The sequence below is a fragment of the Homo sapiens genome, chromosome 3, assembly GCF_000001405.40.
Source record: "Homo sapiens chromosome 3, GRCh38.p14 Primary Assembly".
NCBI classification, from domain to species: domain Eukaryota; kingdom Metazoa; phylum Chordata; class Mammalia; order Primates; family Hominidae; genus Homo; species Homo sapiens.
Genome location: NC_000003.12, coordinates 63,947,397 through 63,960,937, shown reverse-complemented (window position 1 = coordinate 63,960,937; position 13,541 = coordinate 63,947,397). Strand labels below are relative to the sequence as shown.

The 13,541-nt window shown below is 39.4% G+C and overlaps 1 protein-coding gene across 4 annotated transcripts in view, besides 1 other annotated feature; it reads right to left on the bottom strand.

The window, feature by feature from the left end:
• ATXN7 (ataxin 7) overlaps positions 1 to 13,541 on the bottom strand; it is a 140,319-nt gene that overhangs the window by 42,525 nt on the left and 84,253 nt on the right. For all 4 annotated transcript variants that reach the window (NM_001377405.1, NM_000333.4, NM_001177387.1 and 1 more), the window contains one exon: positions 8,455 to 8,559. In NM_001377405.1, the coding sequence (NP_001364334.1) occupies positions 8,455 to 8,559 (105 nt within the window). The remainder of the gene's footprint in view (positions 1 to 8,454; positions 8,560 to 13,541) is intronic.
• Positions 26 to 525: an enhancer, noted in NCBI's record as "H3K27ac hESC enhancer chr3:63946089-63946588 (GRCh37/hg19 assembly coordinates)". NCBI's record gives its function as "activates a minimal SCP1, AML or CMV promoter by ChIP-STARR-seq in primed H9 embryonic stem cells {active_cell/tissue: H9 hESC(primed)}" and the evidence as "EXISTENCE:reporter gene assay evidence [ECO:0000049][PMID:30033119]".

The window sequence follows — 13,541 nt, the reverse complement described above, 5'->3', positions numbered from 1 at the left end:
GAAAGTGCACACAGTATCTTTTGTTTCCTGGCTTGTATGACTAGATTACAGAAACATTAAAAAACTGAAAAGAAAAAATGACCCCCCACCCCCAACTTGGCATCACTGCAATAATTATTTTCTTCTATAATCTTTAGAAAATGCCTAAAGACTTAATATAATACATCAACACTTTTTATTCAGGTCAGTGCACCTCATTAAAAATAAATGCCCATATACAAACTGAAAGAACAACCTCCTGATCCATAAGCTCAAGTAAATTCATCCAGCTGCTTGAGCCAAAAACCCCATGAGTCATTCCTCCTCCCTTCCTTTCCCAGTCCATCAGCAAGCCCTGCTGGCTTTATATTTCCGATGCAGATTTTAATTCTGTTCACACTTCTCTGCCCCTGCTGCTACAATCCTAATCTAAGCTTTCTCTCCTGATCCAGCTCTCACCTTAACTAGTATAAAACAGCTCACTAACTGGTCTCCCTGGTTCCACATTTGCCCCGTGTTCCATACAGCAACCACGTGATCATAACACTTCCTGGCCAAAACCCTCCAGCGACTTCCCATTGCCTGCGCCGTCCAATCCTGATTCTTCTCATGGCTTGCAGGGCCCAGTGTCATCTGGTCCTGGACCCACTTTCTCCAGTTTCAACTTGGACCCCTTTCCTCCTTGCACACTGTCCTTAGGCCTCCTCACTGGCCTTTCTGCCAAGACCACTTCCATCTAAGGACCTCTGCACTTGCTATTTCCTCTATGTGAAGCACTTGTCCTCTACATCTTCAAATGGGCTGGCTCTCTTTCATCACTGAGTTTAAACATCAACTCCAGAGACAGGCTTTCTTTAACTAGCCTTACCTAAAGTGGTCTGCCCCAGTCATTTTCTCTCACATTATTCCTAGCATTTATCACTACCTGAAACAATCTGATTTCACACAATTTCATTTTTCTCTCTCCTCCTTAATACAATGTATTGTATTAAGTCAGAATATAAGGTGCATGAAATCATAGACACTGTTTTCCTACCTCAGTGGAGGGCAATGCCTAGCATATATTAGGCACCAGTAAATTTTGTTAAATGCATGAATAATACCATTGCTAGTTTAATTCCTTTCTAAAGCAGCCCCAAAGGCACAGACATTCATAAAAGCACAGATATCAGTAAGAGGAAAAATAAGTACATTTTATATCTAGAAATTAAAATGTTGCTCCTACAAATGACATAACTTTATTTTAAAGATATTTGCTTATAATACAACTAAGGAAAAAAGATAAATTTATATTAGCTGAGAGAGAATAAACCTTTATCTAATGCTACTTAAGTTATCTGAAAAATTTAATTAGCATTTTTTCACTTGTAGCAGAGAAAAAAATGAATACACTGTATGTCACGCTATCACTCTCTAATATTAATAACAATAAATGACAAGTGAAATAAAAAACATTTTCTTTCTTTATCCAAAAATGGTTACTTAATGACAAGAAGTTTAGGGCAAAAGGCCAACCTGGAATTTCCTTCCAGAGTTAAACTAATGTCCACCTTGACATCATTCATGTTTTCATGTGCCTGTTTTGGTTAGCTCCCATCCCTGGCTCATCCCCCGACTGCTGGAGAAAGACCTGGTACAAGTCTTCCAAGCAAAAGAGTGAGGTAATTTTTTTTTGCTCTGCAACAAGTTTCAGTCTTTATACTGACTGCAGAAATAAACATGTCAGCCAATTCTCTAAAGAAGCTACAAAATGCTACGAGTCTCATACAAAAAGAGGAGGAGTTTGGCTTTAGATAGCGACTATGATTTAGAATTAAATAAAGTAGAACAGGCAGAAGAGAAATCCAATGACTACGCTAAATCAATTATCTACCTACCATCATTATATCTTTGAATTACTAAATGTTCTGAGGTAACAGGTTTACAATACTGATCCAGCTTCTTGAAGCAAACTTAAAATTCTACTTCAGCTAGAACATCTGTCACTAATGATAGTTTTGTGACACATGCAATTCATATTGTCTCCGAATTTTTTTTACTCTATACATCCTTATCATGCAAAATAAATCAATGTTAGTAGGTAGAAAAGATGGTCTGGTTGGTATATTTTATCTGTGTGAATGAAATTTAATTTACGACTTTGATCTGTAAACTAAGCATAAAATCTATTCAGTGGATTGTTAAGAACAGGAAATAAGATAATACATGCAAAAATTCTCTGTAAATCACCAGGTACTATTAAAAGTTATCATTAGTCAGTGGACTTAAATTTAGCATACTTAAGAGAAAAAAAACATTTTCTTTCTTTATCAAAAACAGTTATGAGCTAAATAAAATGACATGTTAAAAACTATCTGAACCTGTTACTTTCCAGGTCTAAGTTAATCAGAGAGCAAAAGGGGAGGGAAGTGTTCTGTATTAAATGGTAAAACCTTTGCTTTGTGATGCAAGATAATTATACGATGGCAATTGCTGGTCAGAACTATGAGAAATGTTGTCAACAATGAGAACCAGCATTTTTGCCAGAACCAGTCCATCAGATCTCAGAGAAAAAATTCATTTTTCTCTTATAGTACTAACATTCTTTGAAACCAATTACTTAGCTCAAAAAAGTATGAGTAATTTCTCATATGAATATATAAGTAATTTGTTCATCCTGATGAAAATGACGTTTCAGAAAATATAATTTATGATAGCATCTAAAAGAATCCAAACCACCTCAATGCATATCAAGGAACATTAAGTCCAAGCAATGTGTGTGGCTGTTAATTTTACAGGATTTGTAATATGTGCAAGGAGAGAAAGCTGTAAGATCACAGGAGTGTTTCTACTAAAACTACGTTCATAAAGTCATGAAAAAGCCAAATTTTGACACTTCCGTTTGTGAACAGTCTGAGAGAAATGCAGATGTTTTACACTGAAGCCTCACCAACAGACTCAAATACCATTCACAGTGATCAGTAGTGGCTCAATATATAACATTATCGATAGGTGACAAAGGGTATTTGTCTTACGTGGTCTTCTTACAGATCAACATGAGATTCTAAAATTCTGTTTTCAAGGTCTGTTATTTCCTAGGGCTAAGGCTGGCCTCAGTAGATAGCTCTTTAAACATCTGATTTAACAAAATTCAAGAACTTGAGCTGGTATTTCCCAACAATATGGAGTAGGTATCACTCTCTAATATTAATAACATCAAATGACAAGTGAAAACTTACTCCCTTTCCAATCTCTTTCCATTTTCCTGATAATATCACACTACTGTGTGGACAACACTTGCCTAAAATGTGCTAGTCTCCATTTTAACAGAGAGCAAGCCTCAGGCTCAGAGCCAGCACTGGCAAAAGCATCAACATAAAATTAAATAATTTTCTTTTCACAGTATTCATTTTCACATTTACTACTTCTTATAGCAGACAACACTAGTTTCCCCCTTTATTGTTCTACTAAGATTTTCCTTGTAAATTGATTTATTTAAATAAAAGTGGTCTGATTTAAAGAAAAATACTAAGTGGAATTAAGTCAGCAGATGATAAAACCAGCACTTGATTAAGGTTGGGAAAAAGTGGCTGCTCCAACCTGCTTAGAGACTCAAGCTGAGCCCAAAGGTGAACAAATGGATCAGCCTAACTAATCTGAAGCAAATACTTAAACAGCCAACATCTGAGTAGGGTTTCAATTAATCACAGAGATTCTAAATGTGGTACTTGTCCAAGCTGAATAAACATCATTCATCTATTTCTCCTAGGTAATATCACCCCTGTGTCTGCATAAAAGAGAAACATTAAGGTATTCTTCATAAGCAAACTCAGTGAAGCTGCAGAGCACAAAATAGGAATTCCTGGGAAGCTCTCAGTATACAGCCTCAAAAACACCCCACAAGTCATCTGCTAACCCTGTGCTAATCCCACCATTCAGATCCAGAGTAAATGCATGTAAGTAGTACTACACAGTTTATGCTATTCAGTAGCCAGTATAGGACCAACACACTTATCACTAAACTAACTGAAGAACTTAAGATTCCCACCTCAAAAGAATGGGGCTTCTGACTTTCGGAACGTCACCATCTCAACGCTGCTTCCTACTTAAAAGTTCTCTGGCAATTAATGTGACATTTGCAGCACATAATACACATACTTTAAAAAGTAGGGGCCTCCCTTCCTGCCATTCTGGTTGGCTCAACGAATCTCTGAGCACCAATCTCTTGTCAGTCATTGTATGTCTCCCACTGTATGTACCAAGCAGCAGCTCCACCAGAGTGGACTGTATCTGCATCTGTGAAAGCAATGCATTCCAGCCAGCCAGTGTGTCAGAATCAGCCCAGGGAGCTGTTTAGAATGCAGATTCCTGGGTTCTATCTCTGGAAATTCCCACTCAGAGCATCTGGAGTGGGCCTTGGGAAGCTGCTCACTTAGAAAGCTCCTCTTTGATTCAGATGCACAGCAGGTTTGGGATCCACTGATTCGAATTATATTTTTAAATCTGAAATTAGCAGTAAGAAACACCTTACTCTTTTTTTTTTTTTTTTTTTTTTTTTTGAGATGCAGTCTCGCTCCGTCACCCAGGCTCCAGTGCAGTGGTGCTATCTCGGCTCACTGCAAGCTCCACCTCCAGCGTTCACGCCATTCTCCTGCCTCAGCCTCCCAAGTGGGAGCGCACGCCACCACGCCTGGCTTATTTTTTGTATTTTTAGTACAGACGGGGTTTCACACCTTATTCTTAAAAATACTAAGTAACTGAAGAGAAATATGAGGCACACTGGAGTATTTTAAAACATTAAAACAACATCAAGAAATCATGGTATTACTATGTAGTTTCCAAGAAAGCAAACTATGCTGTGAGAGCAATCAGACTGAAAAAACTGGAAATGCCAAAATGGCAGCACAATCATTCACCATCATTGCTCAAATGGAAATCCTGGTTAATTGTTAACTCCTAAAACTGCAGCTTGGCTAGCAAAAAAGTACAGGGCTTCTTAACTACTCCGAATAATAAGCTGCTCACCAATTCAGAATAGTTTTACCACCAACACTGACTGATTTTACAAGACTTGCTGCCACGGTAGCATGTTTTCTTGTCCTGGTAGCAGTGGTTTTAACGGAACTGCCTGCTGGAGTTGGTAGGAACTATTCATTTGTTCATAAAAGTCACAGATGGATATCAGCAATACATGAATTCACAGAAGACTGCCGACACATTTTCACCAATATCACTGAAAGAAAATACCATCCCTCTTTTGGCACGTAAATAGACTACAACAGTCACTGTGAAAGATTCTGAATTTGAAAACTGTGTTTTGTTAACTGTGGAAAACAATAATGCAACAACTGGCTTTCTAAAAATTTCAACAAAAAAGAAAATGTACCAAAAATAATCTTTCCTGTCACAACCCCTGTCCCCAAAAGATAGACGACACTGTGGCAGCACTGGGAAAGGTTGTTGGTCCTGGGAACCCTGCCCACCTCTCCTTCCCTCCAAGTAAGTGGGGTGTCACTCCAGGGCCACCACATGGTGCCTCCCTCTACTTCATGCAGTTACTCTCCCAAACCCCCATCCACCTCTAAACCTCTTGTCAATTCCACCAGCAGCCATCTCCACTGCTGATTCAAAGAGGGCATTCCTTACACATTTCCCAGCAGAATCCCTCTCTCAGAGCACTTGGCCCTCATCTTTCTGCCAGGAACTCTCCTCTCTCATATCTTTAATATTTCCCTTGTCACTAGAGGGACCTCAGCCCTCCTACCTAGTGGCTTTGTCAGTCACATCTCCTGCCAAGCCACAGGAGACCTTGGAGTAAATGAATCTTGAATTCACACTTTCCCATTTACATGTTTGAAGTTATCACCAACGCTTTGTCATTCAACAAGTATCTTATTAGGAGATACCGTGCTAGGGACTGAAAGGCAGGAAAGGAGAAAGACAGAAAAATGTGATTTTAAGATATTTTCCTGGCCGGGCTTGGTGGCTCATGCCTATATTCCCTGTACTTTGGGAAGGGGAGGCAGGCAAATCACTTGAGGTCAGGAGTTCCAGACCAGCCTGGCCAACATGGTGAAACGCCATTTCTAATAAAAATACAAAAATTAGCCGGGCATAGTGGCATGCACCTGTAATCCCAGCTACTCGGGAGGCTGAGGCAGGAGAATTGCTTGAACCCAGGAGGCAGAGGTTGCAGTGAGCCGAGATGGCGCCACTACACTCCAGCTTGGGTGACAGAGCGAGACTCCGTCTCAAAAAAAAAAAAAAACAAAAAAAAAAACACTTTTTCCTACCCGTACACTGATATTCTAAGAGGGAAATGAGAAGATTAAAAAAAAAATAAGTATACTGTAACCAGTGAGTAAATGCTCCTAGAATAGGTCTTCTTTCTGCCTAAGGAATCCACTCTACCCATCAATTCTCTGGGGCACCACTAAGTCACATCACTCTGGTTCTAAAAAATCTGCAACAGGTCCTCACCAACACGTCCAGAGCAGGGAACTCCGATTGGCACTGAGGCCCTGTGAGCTAGTCCCAGCCTGCCTTTGCACTCCACTCATCCACAGGTGGGTACATCAGTTCTGGCCAATGGTGACTCGTGCAGCACATCCCAGAGAGCCTGGAATTTCCTGCTCCTGTGCTTGCTCACGTCAACCTTGTTGCCAATCCGGGGCCACCAAATATGGTTGTTCAGTGCACAAACTGTGCAGCCATATGTGGCAGCTCTGTCTATCCCCAGTAAAACACCTCCCATCTTTAGTGCATTACAAGTGATTTTTCCAAAATATTGTCTGTATTGTCCACAACTCAGAAGCAGGGAAATGACATCTTATCCACCTCTGTACCCACTCTAGTGCCTACCCTAGGGCTTCTCCTAGAAGCAGGAACTCAAAGAATCTTTTTATGGTTAAATAAAGGATTTATTATTCCTTGAAAAAATGGTGGAATGTTGCTTATGATGGTGTGACTCTTAACCCAACAACAGCAGTCTCGACAGCCAAGATCTGTAAATTCTAACTTTAAAACGTCTCTTGGCTGAGCGCGTGGCTCATGCCTGTAATCCTAGCACTTTGGGAGGCAGAGGTGGGCGGATCACTTGAGGTCAGGAGTTCGAGACCAGCCTGGCCAACATGGTGAAACCCTGTCTCTACTAAAAATACAAAAATTAGATGGTGGTGGCGGGTGCCTGTAGTCCCAGCTACTCAGGAGACTGAAGCAAGGGAATTGCTTGAATCTGGGAGGCGGAGGTTGCAGTGAGCCGAGATCGCACCACTGCACTCCAACGTGGATGACAGAGAGGCCGTCTCAAAAAAAAAAAAAAAAGAAGTATCTCAAAGCTATGCAGTCTTCCTAGCTCTACTGCCAGATCTTACTCTCAGTCCGGTGTCATCTCTTGCCTCTGAACTATTCCCCCTACTTCTGTCCTTCTCCCAGAAATTTTTCTCAGCAAATCAACCACTGAAATAGGACTGTGTTACTCTCTTACATAAATCCTCCAGTGCTCCCAAGCTGCTTCTTAGCCTGGCCTATGAATATCAGGTTCCTGCTTATAATGCTGGATTCCTCCAGTTTCTACCTCCCTTCTCTAAATACTAAATACCCTTCAGCCACACGGGCCTTCTGTGTGCTGGCTGTTCCCTCTGCATCAAACGCTCTTATTCTAGATTGCTGCCCGAGTTGCTCCTTCTCATCACTTAGGACTCAGCTCCAGTGTCACCTCCTAAGATGCTTTCTTTAAACACTCTATCTATAGAAGAACCCCAATGTTACTCTATTGCAAGCTTGCATTTGTAGTAGTAAGAGCAATGAGGAAAAAACTTATAGTTATTTTTAAAGTATATCTAGTTAGTTTTGCCTGCCTCTCCAATTCGACTGTAAACTCTGTGGCGGTAAGAATCATACTACATACTCAATGCCTGAAACAAGGTACGTATTCAAATACTTATGATTTGCTATTGAGCCAAACTGGGCAGAAAACCAAGTTTTAGAATCAGAATCTTAAACACTTTAAAGGCATTATGACAATGCCAACTAACTGTATTTGGATTCTTCAACAATTAACACCCAATATTTAGAACTATTGAACAGAGAAGTTTCAAAATCACATTTCCTTAAAAAAAAAAAAAAAAAAAAAAAAAAAAAAAGGCCCATGCATCCATATTGTGAGTGTATATAATTTTAAAATCCACTGAATTCACAACCAGGGGCTCCAGAAGGAAACAAACTTGTAATTATACTGATGCAACATTTTAAGAGACATTTTATAAACTATACTTTCTCTAATTTCAATAAAAGTCAAAAAATTCCTATCACTTTTAATAAAAATTTAAAAATACCCAACATCTGATAGTTATTAACCCACTGAGTGAATTAAAAAGCCTACTTCCTGGTGGGGGAGGGACATTATGTCCCATGCATGCCATCACTGTTCCTTAGTTTAATCTTGCTTTACCTTTTACCTTCTATTAACAATTTTTTAAATGGTTAAGCACTTACCATAATGTGATTGAAATGCCTGCGGTTTGACAACCTGATTACAGTCGTTACACACCACCAAGTAGAAATCATCATGGGCTGGACAGAAACCAAATATTGGCATGTCTGCAACACAGAAACAGAGCATCACTCACTCATCTGGTTCTGACTGATATAAAACCATTTTGGGAAACTACTTTCTAAAGGAGTTGCCTTATTGTAAAGTATACCAGGACAAATGAACTGATGTGGTACACCACCACTATTAAACAGAGAAATCAAATCAGGCTTACAGACACACTTTAAAAAGGGTTAAAGTGCACCAAAAATAATTATGATGTGGTGAAACAATCTTTTAAAATGCAAACAATGAATATATTTGCACAATAAAGCAACATTAGATGAACTCTACCAAGAGTTAAGGGAAAGAATCTGCAACCATGTAAACTGCTTAGTTCACAAAGCTGTACCATCTAATGCTTTTGTTTAACTGTGCATTCTATTCCAGCTCTCTGGTTCCTGAGTTCTATGGAACAATTAAGAAAGGGAGCAGAGACAGAGGAATAGAACTGCTGGTTTGCCAGCATGTCATATAAAGAAAATTATTTTAATATATTTTTTCCAAGTCATAGCAACCTCTAGTCCTTTTGCTTACATACTAATGCCACCAGAAAGGCAGAATGAACTTTAGTACAAACAGCATTTCATATATTAATCAGTTTGGTTACCAAAATAGGGTAGGATACGAGCTGTTTGTTTGTTTTAACAGTAAGACAGCAACTTAATTAAATGCAAAAGTAAAACTAAACTGTCTGCATATACATGAAAACTGAAAGTAACTTGATACCTGGTAAATATGGTTAACTAAAACATCTCAACCATTCAATTAATTATGAACAACAATTTGGGGAACAGAGCTAAAAGTTCAGATCCAGAATCTAACTTTTTAAGTATTTCAAAATCAGTGGATTTTAAACAGCATTTTACACTACATTCACTCTTTAGAATATCTGCAATGAATGGATAATTAGCACACTTCAATTTAAGCAAAAGTTTTAGTAGATCAAATACCAAGTTTAAAGGACAAGGGGGAAGATCCAAAAAGCTGATTAGCATCTACTTTCTTTCCTATGAAGATTTAATTTCACACTTTCTCCAGCCGGGGAGATCCTGGTGGTTTTAAAGGGAGAAGAAAATTCCTTAAGGAGATGTCAAGTGAGGATAATCTCTAAAATATCAAATTACTGATCTAGTATCTACACATGGCTATGGCTTGAATTTTCTTAAACAGTTTCTATTACACTGAATTGCACAGATAGCTAGCTATAATCCGAAATATACTAGAGTCTAGCACGATTTGGGGATGTACTTGCAGCACCGAGTAGTTTCTACAAGCTATTATTTCATTTTTATCCTCACAACTACCTAGGTAGACATCATTATATCCCCCCTCTAAAGAAGAGAAAACTGACTCACAGAGAGGTAAAGTACTTTGTCTAAGGTCAATAGCTGGAATTCAATTCTGACTTATAATGTGGCTTGGATTTCTTACCTCTTGAAGACCAGAGGAATAATGATATCTAGAGAGTCCTTCCAGATTCCAATGTCAATAAATTGGAATGTCAGGGCTGACCATCTTTGATGGTATAAACTGATTAGATAAGAAGCTTCCAGTAGACTACAGACTTCTGTGACTACGCTTATTTAATAAAAAATAAGAGCCAAACAATATGCTATTTTCCCTGAAAGCCTGCCCACATTGAGTTAAATATAGTACATGTGGGAGAAGGGGAAAGGTTATATCTATGCAATGATATACATGTAATAAGTCACTTTCCAAGATTACAGTTTCTTGACATGACATTTCATTCTGAAAAATAAAATTTAAAGTCATTTACCGTAAGTTCCATATGCTTCTGTGCTAAATGCCTCTGATACATCTAAATTACAGAACTGGTATAACATTCATAATTTACAACTGAAGAGTGTGAGATAGATATCAAATGAACAATTTCATTAATGAAATCAACTCAATTAGTTTTATTATTAGATAGCAGTTAAAACAGTATTAAATAAACAGTGTTAGTTTAGTTTTAGGTCTCTGCAATGTGCTGCTGGTGGTCTCTGTGATTTCCCTCAGTTCTGAATGTAAAGCACTGTTGCTTAAAATAGATCACTTTGCCAGATACCAGATTCTTCTGTGGACTAACCCTCTACCCCTTTAAAAATAAAGCAATTAAGAGAAATAAAAACCTAAACTGATCCTTTCAAATAATAAGGATTCAATTTGTCACATGATGTTTATCATGTACAAAATTATTCTTTTTTGCCCTGGTTCCTTTGATCCTTTTCTGAGACTTAGGACTAGTAAAACTAAAAAGATAGGGGTTATCCTGTAAGGAACCAAGAATCTATACTTCTGTAAAAATTTCTATTTCCTCAATAACTTAAGATCAATTGCAACTGATGATGACTATAATGATAACCAGCTGACATTTACTGAGAGACTACTATGTGCCAGGTCCTATGCCAAGCAGTTCTTACATGGTTTTTCCCATTTATTTCTAATAATAACCCTACATAATAATCCCCATTTTACTTATGGAGAAACAAACTTATTTAATATCACTCAGCAAGAAAGCGGCATAACCAGGACTCTGGTTTGTGTGACCGGAAAACTCGGTTCTTAATTTCTCATGAGCACACTGAATCTCTCTAAAAAGCATGCACACACACACCCCCTCTGTGGGAAGAAACATGGTATACTTAAACCCAGTTCATTCTACCCTATGAAACTGAGCTCCCTGGGCCAGGCGCGGTGGCTCATGCCTGTAATTCCAGCACTTTGGGAGGCCGAGGAAGGCGGATTACCCGAGGTCAGGAGTTCGAGACCAGCATGGCCAACATAGTAAACCCTGTCTCTACTAAAAATACAAAAATTAGCTGGGTGTGGTGGCAGGTGCCTGTAACCACAGCTACTCAGGAGGCTGAGGCAGGAGAATCACTTGAACCTGGGAGGTGGAGGTTGCCATGAGCCAAGATTGCGCCACTGCACTCCAGCCTGGGTGAAAGAGTGAGACTCTGTCTCACAAAAAGAAAAAGAAATTGAGTTCATTTTATGAAAACGTAAAGCAACTTTAATTTTAGCTTTCTAAATTCTTCACTTTCAGATATCCATATTTGGAAGTAAACTAGAGGATACAAAATAATTTAAATAAAATGCTTCTTCAGGAAAAAAAAAAAAAAAAGGAATTCTATATTCTTTTTCTGCTCTGGGACATTCCAGGGGCCTTAGCAACAGGAACAGAGTGTGGAATGTTGTGGCAACAGAAAGAAATGAAATAATGTGTGTGTGAGAGACAGTATGTATGTTCCTAAATATTTTAAAGCATAAATTCACAATCAACCCGTCTGCAAATTAAAATAGGGATCTTGCTCAAATGCTGTGAAAAGCTTGATTTACAACAGAAAATAAAAATATAAAATTAATAAAAATGAATTCATTATTCAATTAAAAAGTTTACAAAATATACTTGTAATATACAACTTAGGCCATTAATTATGTACTTGAGCATAAAGTTTAAAAATTGTACTTGAATTAATGGATTCTAAACGAATTTGAAAGAATGGATTTTATTGTTGTGTAAGCCCTAAATCTTTCTCAGGATTTAGGTCACCCCTATGTTCCAATTAGTGAGTGGGCCAGCACCCACATCTAGGCCATCATGTACTTTGGAGACCCCAGGCCAGCATACTAGGGAGGATTAGGTTTAAGCACAAGGACACTTGAGCACATGTATATGGAAACTTCAGTCACATGCAGAATGAAGTCCCTCTGCTAGAAACCATACCCCAAACTGTGGTGAATGTATTTACTTTGGTGTTGCTATCTCCATTTTGAGGACTTTGTTCAGTAACAAGAAAACCTGAATGGCACTGCAAAGCATTTAACCTGCCCAGTACCCTGCGTGTCTCCCTTTTCCCACGCATCCCAAACTTCTACATGCCACTCACAAGTTTCTATCTCCAGCCCCGACTGCTCCCAAGCTCTGTCTAGTTTCACGTACCAGACTGCCTACTAGACATTACCATCTAGATGTCTTATATACATTTCAAACAGAACAAGCATGTCCAAAACTTCACTCTTGACCCTTCTCTGCTCCTCACCCAACAACCTTCCCCATTTTGGGTAAATGATACTATTCATCCCCCAACAGCTCAAACTAAAAGCCCAGGTGTCACCTCCAACTCTCTTGTCCCTCAACACATTCAGGCCACTAGCACACCCAGTTAAGTTCTATCCTAAAATCTTCATCCACTTCTCTCCACTGCCATGGCCACCACTATTGGGCCTGCCACCAGCACCCTTTCAATGAACTCTGGAAGAAGTCCCCTAAGTAGTCTACAAACCTTTCCACAAGGCTGCCAGAGTGATTCTTTAAAATTCCCCACCAGATCACATCACTCCCCTGTTTAAAATTCTCCAGTGGCTTTCTACTCCTCTTGGAATAGAACTCCAGCCCTTACCCTGGCTCCCAAGGTCCTGCCAGATATACCTGCACTTCCCTCTCATCCTCTGTTCCCTCGTTCCCCACTTCTCTCTCCTTGGCTCACTCTGCTCCAGGCACACTGACCTCCCTTCTCTCCTCAAACCCAGAAACCTTTTCCCCAGCCAGACTCTATGCTTGCACTTCACAAGATGCCTGGTGTATTCTCACACATCAGGTCTCAGCTCAGCTGTCACCACTTCAAAGGGCTGTTCCTTCCCCCTCCCCAGTTAGTTACTATCACTGGCATTTTAAGCAGAGTGGCTAAGAGTGTGGGTCAGTATCACTCTGAATCCTGGTTCCCTCAATCAAAAGAAACGTGACCTTGGGCAAGTTATACAATCTCTTCAAATTATCACTTTTTTTTCCAGACACAAGGTTTCTGTCGCCCAGGCTGGAGTGCAGTGGCACAATCACAGCTCACTGCAGCCTCAATCTCCCAGGCTCAAACGATCCTTCCACCTCAGCCTCCTGAGTAGCTAGGAGTAATCACAGGTGTGCACCACCACGCCCAGCTAATTTTGTTTTATTTTTTGTAGAGACAGGGGTCTCACTATGTTG